Source organism: Homo sapiens, chromosome 2 (assembly GCF_000001405.40).
Source record: "Homo sapiens chromosome 2, GRCh38.p14 Primary Assembly".
Lineage (NCBI taxonomy): Eukaryota > Metazoa > Chordata > Mammalia > Primates > Hominidae > Homo > Homo sapiens.
This window is the reverse complement of record NC_000002.12, coordinates 64167723-64185025: the sequence shown is the minus strand read 5'-3', so window position 1 is coordinate 64185025 and position 17303 is coordinate 64167723. Positions and strand designations below refer to the sequence as shown.

Below are 17303 nucleotides of genomic sequence, written 5' to 3'. Positions count from 1 at the left end.
AAAGTTGCATATTTCTCAGATTCTGTTATATATGATTGCAACAGCAGTGAGTGATTGAAAGACATTTTCCCTAGAGTTTTAAGTCCTTTTCTATGCAAAGTTTCAACAACAAAAAAATTTTTTTTAAATAGAGACAGGGTCTTGCCATGTTGCCCAGGCTGGTCTCAAACTCCTGAGCTCAGGCAATCCACCCGCCTCAGCCTCCCAAGTGCTGGGATTACAAGTATTAGAGCCACCGTGCCAGCCAGTTTCAAAGAAATTATAATGAAAGAAAGTTAGGCAGCACAGTAGGAACAAGAATTCCACTTCCATGTCATAAAGACTCAGGATCAAGTCTTCTAGAGCCCTAGCTCTAACTAGCTGCGTGACCTTGAGCAAGTTACTTAATTTTCTAGACCTCAGTTTCCTCATGAGCAAAATGAAAATATTAACACCATCCTCAAAGTTACTGTGAGGACTAATTAAAATAATACTTGTATCCTGCTTAATCCAGTGCCAGCACATAGTAAGCTCTGAATAAGTGGTTGTTAGAATTATTACCAACACGTGGGAGGACCAACTTTACATGAGAGACAGTGCTGGGTGGTCTCACATATGCTACCTCATTTAATCCTTCACAATCCTGAGAAACAAGGAAAAACTCTTCCCATTTTTATGGATTAGGAAAGTAAGGATCAGAGAGGCTGAGTAACTTATTCAAGGTCATATAGCAAAGTGACAGGGCTGGAATTTGCAACCAGGTCTGCCTGACCCTAAAGTTCATTTTTACATGGAAGTTCATCCTTTCCAAATTTCTTTTACTATTTCATGCAAAAATAGAGATTTCCATTTTCAAGTTTGTGTCCTTTAATACATAGCTACATGAAACTGCTTCTTTTATATTATCATAAATAACAAATATATCTTCTGCCATATTTAGTTCTTTATTCAATTCGAGATAAACATATTTTGTCTAAAGGTTTTATTGGCATTTGGAAGAAACTCAAAGTCTGTACTCAATTAAGATCTGTAAACAGAAGCCAGATCAAATCACAGAAAAAAGAGATTCCCAGTGCTGGGTATGGATCTGTCTTGATCTAAATTTGGATTTCAATCATTGTAACCCATCTTTATATATTCCTGTCTTCATTCAATAAATATTTATTGAATGCTGTATGAGTTAGTCATGGAGCCTGCCTTCAAGGAGCTTAGGGTTCAATAGGAAAGAGAGATATACAAAAAGACGTATAATTCCAGGCAAGAAACAACGGTAGGTGCTAGAAGAAAAATAGGGAGAAAATGATGGGGAGTCTCAAGGGTGGCCGTTACTTCCTACTGGGGAGCAAAGGATCAAAGAAGGCTTTGGGGGAAAAGTGGCCTCCTCTATTAATTGCTCCATCCATCTGTAAACTATTCACGAATTTGTTTTAAAATGCAGCAAGTCCCCGGATAATGCTGTTTCGTTCAACATTGTTATAACGTTGATGAGAAAGAAAAAATGGCCTCTGCGCCAGGGCCCCTGTCTGTGTGGCATCTGCATATTCTCCCCATGTCTGCATGGGTTTTCTCTGGGAACTCCTACTCAACTTTCCTCCCACATCCCAAGATGTGCACATTAGGTAAACGGGTGCATCTAAATGGTCCCCATATGAATGAGTATTGGAGTGTGATGCACTCTGTGATGGGATGGTGTCCTGTCCAGGGCTGGTTTCCATCTCTGTGCTCTGAGGTGCTGACATACGCTCCAGTCACCTGTGACCCTGAACTGGAATATGCAGGTTGGAAAATGAATGAATGAATACAAGTTATTATAAAATAAAAATCTGAAAAGTGTTCAATAATCACACAAATGCACAACAATAAATGATGCAGCACAAAAGCACTTAGCAAGCCTACCAGATTTGTCCTTGTTTGATTTTGAACCGTATTGGTGGGAGAAGATGCTCCTTATGATTTGTACTTTGCAAACATTTATTCTTTGATTTAACCCACTACCTTTATGCCTACCATCACTCAGTGATTCACCAAAATTGGGTAATTATCCTGTTTATATTAATCTTCCTTAAATGTAGGTATAACTCACGTTTATTTCAGTGTTTAATATTATAAGTGTTTAGGGTCTTTATTTATAAGTCTGGTGATGTTTCTGTGATCAGAAATATGCCATAGAAACTTAATTCTTTTTAAAAAATGTTATTTTCATACATTTAGGAGGTACAGGTGCAGATTTCTTACATGTATATAGTACATAGTGGTGAAGTCTGGGCTCTTAGTACATTTTCAACCCTCACCCCTCTCCCACCTTCCCACATTTTGGGGTCTCCAGTGTTTGTTATTCCACTCTGTATGTTCATGTGCACCCACTGTTTAGCTTCCACGTGCAAGTGAGAACAGGTGGTATATGACCTTCTGTTTCTGAGTTATTTCACTTAGGATAATGGCCTCCAGTTCCATCCATATTGCTGCAAAAGACATGATTTCATTTTTCTTTATAACTTTATTCCATGGTGCATCTACACCTCATCTTTATCCAGTCCTCCATTGTTGATTCCCTATGTTTGCTATTGTGAATAGTGCTACAATAAACATGTGAATGCCGGTATCTTTTTGATGTAATGATTTATTCCCTTTGGGAATATACCCAGTAGTGGAATTGCTGACTGGAATGGTAGTTCCATTTTTAGGGATGTAACTCTTGTTTATATATCAATTACCCTATGACAAAATTGGTTTTCTTACACATTGTTTCTCAGTTTCCAAGAACCTATGGATGAAGTTAAGTGAAGACTTGTTGTGTAATACAGAAAGTGGTGAATAGGTGGGGCTGTGAATGAAACAGGACTGGCCATGAGTTGATCATGTGAAAGCTGAGTGATGGCAGTACATAGAACTTCATTACACCAGTGTGTCTGCTTTAGGATATGTTTGAAATTTTGCATTATAAAAAGTTAAGGCCGGGCGCGGTGACTCACACCTGTAATCCCAGTACTTTGGGAGGCCGAGGCAGGTGGATCACGAGGTCAGGAGATCAAGACCATCCTGGCTAACACGGTGAAACCCAGTCTCTACTAAAAATACAAAAAATTAGCCGGGCGCGGTGGCGGGCGCCTGTAGTCCCAGCTACTTGGGAAGCTGAGGCAGGAGAATGGTGTGGACCTGGGAAGCAGAGCTTGCAGTGAACTGAGATCGCACCACTGCACTCCAGCCCGGGCGACAGAGCGAGACTCCATCTCAAAAAAAAAAAAAAAAAGTTAAAATATTCTACAAGCTAACTTACCTGTAGGACTTCCACAAGTCATTTACATGTACACATGTAAGTGGCTACAGAATGTATGATAATGGTTTGGGCCTGGAAGGACATTAGTGACCACCAGAGTGAAATGAACTGAATCTCCCTGCCTCCCGCTCCATACACACAAGCCTACTCAACAAGATCTCTTTAATGTAAAGCCACAAGTCAGAAAGGGTGAACACAGGGTAATAACCCAGGGACTTGCCTAGAGGCAATGCTTACCTCTGGGCAAGGACTGAGCACATATCCTAATGAAAACAATTTGTGTGTGTTTGAAAGAAAATTGAATTCAGTACAATCGATAACGTTCAGAAGCTTCAGGGGATCTGCAGATGTGGACTCATGGAGCAGCATCCTATCACTCCTATCACTCATGGAGATTTTACACATAGGCCTAGGGAAAGACATGGTATCAACTTGTCTCGTGTGGGTGAGACAAAAGCATCCAATACTGCGTCGACCCAAGAGTTCTCACTGGCTCTATGTAGCACATATCCCCAGAATATTCAGGTGTGTTATGTAGTGATTTCTATTGAATGCAATAAAATTTTGTTATAGTTATTACGCATGTCACTTAATTCACATACTCTCAGGCATACCAAGAAGGGAGAAGAAAGGGTGAAGGATAGAGTTCAGCCACCTGGCAGCATTCCATAAAAACTGGGCAGATTCATGAAATATTACAGTGGGAGAGGTGCTCAAAATAGTTTTTGCACACTTTTGAAGATAAGAGAGTCTATCTGTCTTAGATATTCTGCCTGGATATGTTACTAGCATCAGGATGTTTTGAGGAGGCCATGCCACCCTGACTCCAACCCCAAATTAAAATTACAGCAGTCAAAATTAGAGTGTCACACGGCCAGGCACGGTGGCTCATGCCTGTAATCCCAGCACTTTGGGAGGCCAAGGCGGGTGGATCACGAGGTCAGGAGATTGAGACCATCCTGGCAAACATGGTGAAACCCTGTCTCTACTAAAAAATACAAAAAATTAGCTGGATGTGGTGGCGGGTGCCTCTAGTCCCAGCTACTTGGGAGGCTGAGATGGGAGAATGGTGTGAACCTGGGAGGCAGAGCTTGCAGTGAGCGGAGATTGCACCACTGCACTCCAGCCTGGGCGACAGAGTGAGACTCCATCTCAAAAAAAAAAAAAAAATTAGAGTGTCACATGCTACTTTAGTTCTGTGTTGTGGTACTTCAGTGGCTTCTCATTTGAAAGTGTTGTGGTACTTCAGTGGCTTCTCATTTGAAAGTACATAATTATTTTCAAATTATCATATATCATTTCATGGTTAAATTAGATTATCAGCTAGAACTTCCAGGGGGATTGGAATTCTACATGCAAACTAGATTTCAATCCCTATTTATGATCATTTTGGACATCTTTGTTTCCTAAACCCTCAGATCAACTGTTTCCCTGGATAACCCTAAGGCACTGGGAAAAATCTGAATGGAAGAGATCAGCGCTGTTTTTTATGGCATGTTTGCAAGAGACATATTTTGTCTATGTCAGAAACCTAGCTATTCAGTAGGGATATATTTTTCCAAGAACATCTCAAAATATTTCTTTAAGAAAATGTAATTCATCTGACCACTTTCCTCTTAATTAAACCCAGCTGCGTGTGTGTGTGCGCGCACGCGCACGTGTGTGCGTGTGTGCGTATATGTGTTTTCTGTACCTTATTTCAATAACAGAGAAGGAAGCTCTTAAGGGCACCTCTGCCTTACACACTATGAGTCAAAATGACTTGGAAACTCCCTGGCTATACTGTGATCAGTTGTTCAACTTTCAGTTTTGACAGCTTTAATAATTCTAAGCCACCACGCTCCTGATATTCTTCTTTCTAAAGAGAAACAGTTGTTTTGTTTACATATGTAGTCAGTATGATAATTATCTAAATTTGTTCCTACAACCTTGTTTGATCTCTGTAGTGTCAACTGATAAAATCCATCCATTTTGTAGAGCCAAACATCTTTTAGATCTCAGGTCAGAGGTCATTTCCTGGGGGAAAATCAGAAGACTTTAAAGAGGTTGCAAAGCCTGGACTTCCTCACAGAAATCACCACACAGGATAATCTTACAACCTTCAGTTCTTCTAATTTCTACCAGCTGTGTGATTATTTGATTGGTATCCATCTATTCCATGAGACTATATAAATTCCACAAGAGTAGGGCCTTGGTCAGTTTTGCTCACCATTATGTTCTCAATGCCTGGAACAAAGAAGGCCATCAATAAATATTTGTAGAATGAATAAATGAACGTAAAAATATATAAATGTGTCCATGAATAAGTGAGTAAATTACAGAAATTTCACAAAGCGGTTTTATCAATAACACTTTAGAACTGCACTGTTCAACACAGTAGCCACTAGCCATATATGACTATTTAAATTTAACCTTAAATTAATTAAAATTAATAAAACTAAAATCCAGTTCCTCAGTTGCACTAGCCACATTTCAAATGCTCAATAGTCACACATTGCTGTTCACTACTATATATGACAGTGCACAATATACAGCATTTCCATCATTGTAGAAAATTCTACTAGCACAACTCAAGCAATTCTAAAATTCAAGGCCAAAGACAGCATTATTTTTTCCAAAATGAGTCAGATCATTATTATTGGTGCCATTGATAATATTAATTGTGCAACTTAAACCTCTTTCCCCTAAAACTGTTCCCCCTTGATGACTGAGCTTAAACCAAGTATTTCACCTCTTTTTCTTTCAAAATATATAACAAATAATTTGTATTTGTCTACTTTGATTTGTAAGGCTCTATATATAGTTTTATATACTTTCCTGAGTACTCAAAAGAATCCTTGAAATTGGGAATATATACTTTTCTACAAGTGCATTTTTTACACAGGCCAGGCCTCTATGCACTATACGTTGGATAAAAATGGGAAAGATATGTGTTCTAGAAGCCATCATTAGTATATGAGGAATTGGGATTTGTATTAATTTCCCTAATTATGTTAAGTGCGTGATTGCACACATTCTGGAATTGTAATTATGTGTAAATTGATATAGTTTTCCAAATGAATAATATTCAATATGTTTGGTGAGATCCTTTAATTTCAACAATTAAGCTTTTTTTTAAATCAAAGACTCTAGTTACAGTCATCTTATTCTGTAAACTATAAACAAGCATTTTGTTTGTGAAAGCAAAGATCAGAACATTGCCAGAGTTAGGAAAACAAGATTATACATTTATACTTAATTTAAAGCAATAATTTGATTTAAATACCCATACAAGCAAAAGCATCTTTAATTATATAAGTTTGAGAAAAAGCATAAGAGAATAGTGAAGATATAAAGGAATGGGGCAGATCCTCAGATTCAGGTACACATACTGGGAAACTGAGCACACCAGGAGAAATTCACAAATGTAAATTCCTACAAGGCTTCTCTTATAAAGAGCAAGGTTTTATGTCTCCTTTTAGCAAGTTAGACTCTATAATCCCATTTATCTCCATATCTTCATAAAAAAGGAAGATTCTATTCAATAAATCTATGGCTACCTTAACTACACCCAGGTGTTTTAAATTATGCCACAAATTTTTGTCAATCTTTACCATAAAATACCAAATCCAGCTTTTGCTTGTCAACATAGCTAAAACATTATCATTTATCATATTCTAGTACCTTCAAGTTTTCATACCACGTGTGTTCCAAACTCTAGGAAATTAAATATTTGCCTAATACCACACTTTAAAACTTCAAGCCCTACAAATTAAGAAGTACACAATTAACCCATTTTCAAGTGTATTTGCAGAGATTGCACCTGTGCCTACTTATGAACAAATCCTAAGTTTTCTGTTTCCCTCTTTTGGTGCTTAGTCAGCCTTTATATCTCAGGACTTTTCATTTACAAAATGCATGTCACATTTGACAAAGGTGAAATTGTATGGTTTCAGCACTTGGTTTTTTGAGCAATTCAGGTCTTAATTCTTAGAAGGTAAACGTAGCCGTTGTCAGAATGCCACACAACAAGTTTATCCATAAAGAACTTTCAGGAATGAGCTGGGAGGGAAGGGGTCAGATGAGTAGAAAATTGAATTGGGAAGGTTCATGCCCCTTGTCTCTGTTGATTTCCATGTGGAAATTCAGGACCAGCCAATCCCTTTGAAATCTGTCCTAGAAATCATGACTCTGCAGGAGCTGGAAGCTCACATGCCTTCTAGATTGAGGCATGTAGCATCAATAAGTGAAGGAAGGCTGGGAGACAGATAAGGAGAGATGATTAGAAACTGTGATAAGCCCCATCTGAAAACATTTAGATAGGCTTTTTTTTTTTTTTTTAAGTTTTAAAAGATTGCACAAGCCCATTCCATGCAATCTGTAGAGCTGCCAATTTGGAGTTTCTGCTTTAGGAGACAACTCGAGCTTAGGGCTAGGGTAAGAGAACTACTGGCTGTAATAATTTAAGGAACTTTTTTTTCCAGTAAAAGTCACAGGCCATGCTTTAAAAGGGCCTAGGAGTCTATTTAGAGCAAGTTTTTCATGTTTTATGTTGTAAAACTGTATCTAATTATGAGCCAACTTTAACCTTTCTTCAACTTTTCTCCATCTCTCTTCCCAACTACTTCTACGTTTTGTTGGCTTGAGCAAGGCTACTTTGTTAAACACTGCCTCATACCAAGTTCTTTCCCACCACTGGTCTCATTGCAAACCATAGAGGGCAGATTTATAATTTGCCCAGATTTTGTGTGAAACTATAACAACCAAAAAGGAACTCTAAGATCTGTTGTAAGTTTTGAAGGTGCTGTATTTCTGAAGATAATCTTCCTACAGGAGGTATTCCTGTTAACAGAAACAGATTATTTGAAATGGTTGGGTTTACATTACTCCAGAGTAAACTGGCACTGTGTTTAATCCTGTGTAATTTGGGGGCAAGTAAATAATCTCTCTACTTCAATTTCCTCATGTTTTAATGTGAATGATGATGGTCACAAGATTGCTATAAGTATCATGTGTGCTAAAGCATGTAAAAGTACATTGTATGTTACCTACTAAGTACTCAATAAATATCTATTTTATTGTTACACATCCCACAATCATTCACTAATTATCCTGAACATTGATGATACATACCATGGCAATGACACTGATAAATTTGGTAATAGTGCTTAAGTAGAAGAGTATCATGAGAGGAAATGGATTGAAAGCAAAGCATAAATGACAACATTTATTGGGTGCTTACTATGTGTCAGACTGTGAATAGTGCTTTCTTTGCATGTATTAAATCTCATTTACTTTTCACAACATCCCCATGAGCTATGAACTCTGAATAACTACATTTTTAAAAACGATTCACGTGGTGATATTTACTCCTTCAATCAGCTAAGCTAGACCTTCTCCAGAAGGTTCTCCAGAATCCTCTCCCCAGTATGATTCTGGTGTTGATTTTGCCAAAAGTAGAATTTGCAGGAGATTTGGAAGACAGAAGTAAAGCAGCAGCCATTACTCTCTGAAGATTGTCATCTTTCGATACAGCAGTGGACAGACATAAAGGTGCCAGTGGGCTCCAGCTGTCTGCTCTCCTCTACTCCACGTCCTGCCATTTTGGGAGGCCTCTGGCATCAATGATTAATTGCAGTGCCACCTTATACTTGAATGTGACCCTTCTGTGGCAACAGCCCCCCATAGATTTCTCCACCAGCTCCCTATTCACAATCCTATTTCAGCAGCTGGGCGTGTCTGCCTTCTCAGGTGAACTGATGGGTGGCCCCTCTGATCTTCTAGCTCCCCCTTCAGACCCTCTCCTCCCCAGTGCCTCCCATAGTAGCGGCTCTGTTTTTCTGGTTGAACCCTGATTGATACACATGTTTAAGATGAAGTAGCTTACCCCAAGATCACTCAGTCTGAATGGCAGAACCAACATTAGAAGCCTTAATTAGCTTCCAGAACCCATGCTCTTCATAACCACAAGGCAGCATTGTCTGAAGGAGAGGGGAAGAAGAAGGAGATAAGGAAGAAAGAAAAGAGAGAAAGCATGAAGACTATAGAGAAAGAGGAAAGAAGCAGAAAAAAAAGAAAAGGAGGATAGAGAAGGCAGGAGGGAGGACTAGATGATAAGCAATGGGGAGTGGGAGAAAAGCGAAGAGGAATAAAAAATAAAGAGAGGTAGGATAGTGCAATGTCAGCTCTACTTGCTCTGCCAATGCTTTAGCACAAAGCGGGGAATTTCAAGCACAGCTAACATATGCCACAGGACTGCAGAGTTCTAGCACTCGGGTGTTGAGGAAGCAAGTTCCCTTTTGGTTTTACTCTTCTATTAGGAACTAAATCTAAATTTTCATAAAAGTTTGTTTTCTTTTTTTAACAGAAGACCTAATAATTTCTCTAAGTATTCACTCTTTTTTTTGGCCATTTTTAATCTGTTTTTTACAAACTTACATAAGCCAGTGATAAATAACAACTTGCAAAGCAGCGATCGTTACTATAGATTTTACCCCTGAGTTGAAAAATCAAATATTTTTATGCAACAGAACAATGGCTAATAACTTAATTATAGATCATCATGTTCAACTGGGGTAGTTATCAATTTAACTCTGTATTATTCAACAACACAGATGTGGCAAATTTTGCACATAATTCCAAAATAGAGGTGTGAAATATCATTTTCCCATGTGACTATTTGGTTTAACCTAGATATTTACTAAGTATAATATTACAGCTGCCAGGGAGACATAGAAATTAAAAACAAGATAAAATCTTGTTGAGTTTTATTTTCTACTCTGAGGCAGCTAATTTTTAAAATATCCTGCCCAGGGTACAGGAAGTGCTCCTCAGATGTCCTGATGTGCATGGAGGCAAGAGGACATTATGCCTGATTTAAGGACAAACCATCTCACCCACTGTCATCCTGCATGACTGCTCATGCACTGCTCCTGACTTGCATTTTAAGCACTGGTCAGTTTGCTTTTGGCAAGAGTGTGCTAGAGCAGGTTTTATGAGAGGACAGTGATAGAAGATGTGACAATCTTGTCCCAAAATGCCCCTTCTCTCCTTAAGGACTTATCTCTCCTTGAAGCTCCAAGATGCCACAGTCCCTGACCAAGGGATCAAGCTATAGAGGGAGAAGGGGACACCAAACTTGCTCTTACAATGGGTTACCTTCTTGCTTTCCCAAGATGGGGTTGGGTAGGGCAGGCCTGGCTCAATATATTATTCAAAAGACAGTTATTTTAAAAGACTCTCATCTAAATTTACTTCACTAAATGGCAGTGAGTTTTGCCCCTTAAGAGGCTATTCCAGGCTCAGAATGGTATCAGAAGGCAAAAATTGGATTTTTAAAATTTTTATTATAAATAATATAGTGACAAATTATGATTATTATATATGCAACACATATAACTAAATATATAGTTATAGATAATATATACTATTATCTGTAACTATAATAGTAATATATACTATTATCTATGACTATTTTTATAATATATAAATATATTTTTATAATATGATATATGTAACATATATCATTATATTATATAAATTATAACAAATAATTGTTAATTATTTATTATCACTGTGAATCAGAAGAGGCACTGTTAGTTCCCTGAGACATCTGGGGCTGGGCCTGGAGAATCACCCTCAAGTCCACTCCCTCAGCCATCACCACATGTAACTGTGCCCATGGAGTGCTAATACCCTCAGCCTTTGTCTTACTTCATAAACACCTTCCCACCCTCCTTTTCCTACTGGTTCTCAGTCCTCCCAGATTCTGGCCTCCTGGTTTATTTTCTTCTCTGTCGCCTCGGACATGACTCAGGTTACTGCTGCTGGAGCCCAGGCCTTTCACTACCCTACTCTGCCAGAAGGCTCTCTCTGACTAGTGATGACTGGGGGTGAGTTCTGTTAGGATTCTTATCCTTTATCCCAAAAAGAATGAAGGCTCCTCAAGCTTCAAACCAATTTCAGAACCACTTGGGGCAGAGATGACACATGACAGCCACTTGTTGCTTCTTTAGCACTGACTTCACACCATCCCCTGGCTATGAAAAGGAATCCAGATATGCAAATAACCTGTAATTATTATGTGGGTGGATTACCATAGCAATGGGTCTGGGTATTTTAGCTGCCTTAGATTATCCCCTAAGGAAGCATTTTACCCTTTGTTGCAACCAGCCTTCTCACTCTGGTTCCAGCCTTCTGCCATGAGCTGAGGTTTTGGTTTCTGTGAGAAGCTGAGTTGAAGAGTGTGTCTTCAAGACAAGAAGTGGTTTGTCAAGGCAAGGCCTCAATCACGAATGGATATTATCTACACATTTTCGTCTGGACCATCAACATATTTACTGAGGTCCTCTCCTTTACCTCCTCCTCAAGTCTCTGACAGCTTTGACCTCAGATTTGCCCCACACTGTGATTCTTCCATTTGCCCTATAGTAATCAAGATTCTTGTATGCAGACAACTGAAATGGACTTTGTCTTAAGCAGATAAGGAATCTATTGGCAGACTAATAAGTAGCTCCTAGAATTGATGAGAAGCCTGAAGAACCAGCTGCAAGAAATGAGCCAGAACCAAGAGAGATTAAGAGATCAGAACAGACGAATCTACATGTCTGGTCAGGGTACACTGGACTGCTATCACTGACAACCTCTCCCCTACCTCCACAAGACATAGAAATGACCCTGGAAGCCCCATAGACGCTGTTGTCACTAGACATTGGATGCTGCTGCCACTGTCACTTCTGCCAAAATGAGTTATTTCTAGACCTTGCTTCTCCAGTCTAGAGTTATTAGTGGTCTAGATCACATGGCATGCCCTTATTGACAAGAATATGGAAACTGAGTCACTGGCCTTGCACTTTAGTGATGGAAAGTGGGTCCTATAGCTACCAATTGAGAAAAGGGTTCGACATTGAATACTAAAGACAAAACTACTATATACCTTTACTCAGACATTCTATTTTGGCCCAATATTTAGCCCCAGAAGACTGCAGACTCCGATTTTGTGTTATGGATCAGGTTTGGGCATTCCACATTCCATGAAGCTCCAACCTGTGCCCATCCTGGTTTTCAGGGTTTACTACTCTAGCTAGACATTTATAGCTTGTAATGACTTTGTCCCAGTAGGCATCCCAAGTTAAGACTATTTTAGTTTCTGCTTAAAATGATCAGGTCAAATTCTGCCCCTAATATACACTTAATTTATATTGAGGCATTTGAGTATTTTGTACAATTACCTAAGGGTTGATAAATTATTTTCTTTTGTGTTCTAGGGTTTGAATAATAATATTTATTAAAGGCCTATTATGTATAGACATATTATAATTGTTACTATAATCTTGTATTATCACTCGTTTTTACAAATGAGGAAACTGAGGGTCAGTGAGGTTAAGTGATTTGCCCACAAAACTAGTAAAGCCAAAATTTAGATTATATTCTGATTCCTCAGCCTGTATTTTCCCCACTGTACCATGCTGCCTCACCAGAAAAACTAAGAGTTCTATAGATACATTATTCCATATGCAGGTAGAGCTAAAATTATGCCTACCAATTTTGCTTCAGATTTTAGATGTGTGCTTACTGTTTCTTGCCTGACAATTTACTTTCCATACTTGCCTGACAGAGAAGGTAGTAGATGCACTGTGTGAGCAGAAGAAAAACAAAATGTGTCCTCATGCCAAAGTCAAAATTAACTCTAACGAGAGGGAAAAGTTGAAGGCAATTTGCTTTGTGATAGGGTTTGCTTTAAATCGTCCATGTTTCTACAACATTTTACAAATCATAGATGCTATAAGGAATCTACCTTTAAAAAATTGTTTATTTAATGAAAAGGTTTGCAAATTTTTTCAGAGTAATAGTTAACACTTCTTACTTATTCGCTTACACTTTTTCTTTCCCTACTTGACTCTGTGATCCATGGATACCATGTATCTTATTCATCTTTTTATCCCTAATACCTGACAAAACGTAGGAACTCAAAATTTAATGATTTAGTGAAGGGAAGAAGGAATAACAAGCAAACTATTATCAAGGCAATAATAGTATAAAGGAGATTAGGCAGTCAAGGCTAAGATCTTTTCTCTCCCAACCAGAGTTCTTTACAGTCCTCTGTCAATCTCCTTAATAGGACAGGAGTCTCTTTCCTGAAGTGTAAAAGGATACTTAAAAGGAGGTAGATTCAAATTCAGCTAACACCCACTGAGCACCTGCTGTGTGTCAAGAGCTTTTCATGTACGATATCTTATGCAAAACATCTAATAAGCTCATAGCTATTATTATCTCCACTTTTCGGATGAAATCGCTTGGGCTCAGAGAGGTTAAATGCTTTGCCCAAGGTTACACAGCTAATTAAGGGCAGGGTTGGAAGTCAAACCTGGTCTCAGTGAAAGCTCAGCCCTCATTCTACTCCCTCACTGCTCCGTCCCCATAGTGCATCAACCCATGTACAGTCATACGTTGTTTAACAACCTGAATACCTTCTGAGAAATGCATCGTCAGACAATTTTTTCATTGTGTGAACGTCATAGAGTGTGCTTACACAAAACTAGATGGTATAGCTTACTATGCACCTAGGCCATATGGGATAACCTGTTGCTCCTGGGCTACAAACCTGTACAGCATGCTACAGCCTACTGAATACTGTAGGCAATTGTAACACCATGGTAAGTATTTGTGTATCTAAACATAGAAATGATACAGTAAAAATATGATATTATAATCTTATGGGACCACCGCATATATGCAGCCTGTTGTTGACCAAAATATTGTTATGTGGTGTATAACTGTATCATATTTCAGTAGAATTTTTAGCACATCTTTTTCACAGCTTAGCAGCCCTGCAATAGAGATGAGTTTTATAAATAATAGTCTCTTAAATTATATGAAATATGGTCATGGTTTCCCAAAACATAGTAAGTCCACCATCCCTATTCTATACCATTATCTCTAACCAAGAGTTAGTGTTGGAGACCACCATTCTGTTTGTACGTTAAAAGAAATCAGGAATGACCTGTAATAACTTAAAGACTGTTAGGAAGATATCTCTGATTTACAAAAAAAAAAAACTGGTTTTTTTTTTTTTTTTTTTTGGATAACTACCAAAACCTGTAGCTTAGTATATAGTCATTTAATTGGCTTATTCCCTGTAAACCACCTAATGGAGATCACTTCAGAGGCAGCAACGGCTTTGATTGAGAGTTAGATGCAGATCAATTGGGGCACTGAAGCCATTTGAGAGGACAATGCAGTACTTTGGAAAATATAAAAGGTGCCTTAAAAGAAGGTTAAATGAGAAAGGATTGGGTTGAGGAGTGGAGTTTAAAATGGTAGTAAGCATTTTAAGAAGGTAAATAAATAAATATACGCCAAACACAGACTAACTTAAATTTTAAAAAGTATTCATAAAGAGACAATAGCCACTAGGATGGTGACATTAAGAACAAAGGGAAGCTCTAATTTCACATTTATGAGTTAACCAAATGCCCAAGGTAAAGTGAAATAGTCCATAAATTATATTTTAACATCAAAACAATGTTAAGTCACTGATTATTACATTGTCCTAAGAAAAAACTATTGCCTTTTGTGCATATTATCAACCAAAAACATTCTCAAAGTTGACTATTTAGGTCATGACCAAGAAGTATCCAAAAGGCAAGAAATCTGCATTTGACCCTGGGTCATTGGGCCCAGTTCCTGTCTCATCTAGGAAGACTTCTCAGTTCAACAAAAATTTTGTCCCGACCCAGAAGCCACTAGCCAATTTCCAGGTCAATACCAAGACATTTGTATAACCAGTTCTAGGCCCAGCAGTTACAGTGACAGAATAATAGCCTCTCTGTCGCTGACCTGAAAAGTCTGTATCCCAGTTTACTGAACAGGCCAATATGGTGCCTACCATATTGACAGCTCCTGTCTAACAGGACTCCAACTCACAGCTCCTGTTAGGAGGAAGAGGCCCCAAGGTTTCCTCAAGGATACATGGCCATGTTTTGTATTTCAGGACCCAACTCCATGGTTGTTGCTAATTGGACCAGGGGAAGGTAACTGAAAGAGCATTTTCGGTTCCCCAGTAGCCTACGAAGTAGTCTGGTTCAAGAGAAATTTCTGATTCAGTATCCAAATTGTACTTACTGGGTTGTATCTGTCTGCAAGATATGTAAAATACAACGATGCAGAAAAAGACAACTGGCAATTGGAAGTGGAAGCAGAAGTAGACACAGAAAGAAGCAGATCTAAAGGGAGAAGCTAAGTTACTTTAGTGGTGGAGCAGTAAATCAACAATGATCCTAAATAACCTTCCAGTTCTATTTTCTGAGACAGCTGGCTGTGTTTCCTGTTTTTCCTGAGATATATTATTTATTTAGATTTTCCTGAGTTCTTCTGAACCCAATGCATCAGTTAGAAGTGCCTAATTTTGTGATGGTAATAAGTAACATGAATATTTCAGAGTTTAACACAACAAAAGGTTATTTTATTTTTGCAGAAAAATCTGCCCCAGGTCTGGGACAGTGTCTAGGGTTTACATCCTTCAATATCACAGACTGTTTCTAGCTGGGAACTGATCACTGGCTCTTAAATACTTCTTTCTACATGTGATATATTACTTCTACTCCCAGCCAATTGGCTGGAGCTCATCATGTGGTTCACCCAATTGCAAGGGAACTAAGAAATGTGATTTTTCCAAGTACTGAGAAGAAGAAAACTGGATATATGGCTGAATCAGTGGGATAACTTGCTACCATCCCTTTAACCCTTCATTGTGACCTTATGTTAATCATTTTAGCTCCTCCTACACATCAGTGAAACCCATCAGGTAGTATTACATTCATGTGATTTACTCGCCTTTGATTCACTCTGAGACACACCTAGACACATACCTCTTGCCACTAGCAAATTTGATGCCTCATGATAAATAAAATTTATAGCAAGAAGGGACTTGCATTGTTGAGTAGATGATTTCAGCTGTGTTTTTTTTTTCCTTCTAAAATCAGAATAGTAACAGAGAATGATGGATTTCTGCCATGTGGGGGAAAAAAAGATTATGAGAGCTATTGAGATCATCTCAGCAGGACCAAACTACTATAATTTATTTCTTTGCAAGTTATTATAGATGGGTAAATTCAATCTAAAAAGAAGAAAAAGAGGAAGGAAGCTAAAATTTACTGACTATCTACTATGTGCCATCACTTTACACAGATATTATCTCATTTATTTGCCACCAGGCAGTATCTGTGGGCTAGATAGTGCTGTTTTTCAGTTAATTAAACTGAGACATGAAGAAGTTATATGATTTGGCCAAAATCACACAACTAGTACATGGTGCTCCAAGAATTCAACCCAGGTTTCTAAATCCAGACCTCCAAATCCATGCTTCTCATAATTTCATGAAGCATGAAAAGCAGCAAACCTAAAATACACCCTAGGAGAGATGACCCAGATTTTCTGGGGCTATTCCAAAAAGAAATAATGTTCAGGAAGGGCTGAGCTGATTTTAGGAAAGCCCCCAAAGCTTTTGAAGATGGAAATCTCTCTTGCATTCATTTATGCTTTCATTTATTCAAACAGATTTAATGAGTCAGGGTAAAAAGGAAATAAGGATAAAAAGACAAGATTGAAATCCCTGTTCTCTAGTTTCCTCACTATATTTAGGCATAGACCCATAAGTAAACAGACAATTATGATATGGGTTGGCAGCGGGGGGACAAGTAAGAGCTGTGATAGGAGTAGGCAAATGGTATTAAGGGTCCTGGCCCAGTGCTGCTCTTCAGTTCCCTGGGAAACAGACTCAGAGGGATATTTGTGTGCAGGAGGCTTGCTTTCAGAATTAGCACCTATAGGGTGAAGTGAAAACAGCTGAACTGGGCAAAAGGCGAAGTGGGATTATGATGTGGTTGCCACAAAGTCCTCAGCCTTTCTATGGGAGAATTATGGAGTTAGGATGGCCTACAGAGTTGTCCCCACTGAAGCAATGGGACCAGGCTTATAAAAGTATAAACTTCTGAATCAATTAATAATTGTAGTCATTCCTGGGCTGGCTCTAGGAAGGAATGCGTGATCTTAAGCTCTCTTCAACCAA

General features: G+C 38.5%; 1 annotated feature.

Moving 5' to 3' along the window:
- Positions 5106 to 5205: an enhancer, noted in NCBI's record as "active region_15883". NCBI's record gives its function as "activates an Ori minimal core promoter by ATAC-STARR-seq in GM12878 lymphoblastoid cells {active_cell/tissue: GM12878}" and the evidence as "EXISTENCE:reporter gene assay evidence [ECO:0000049][PMID:35858748]".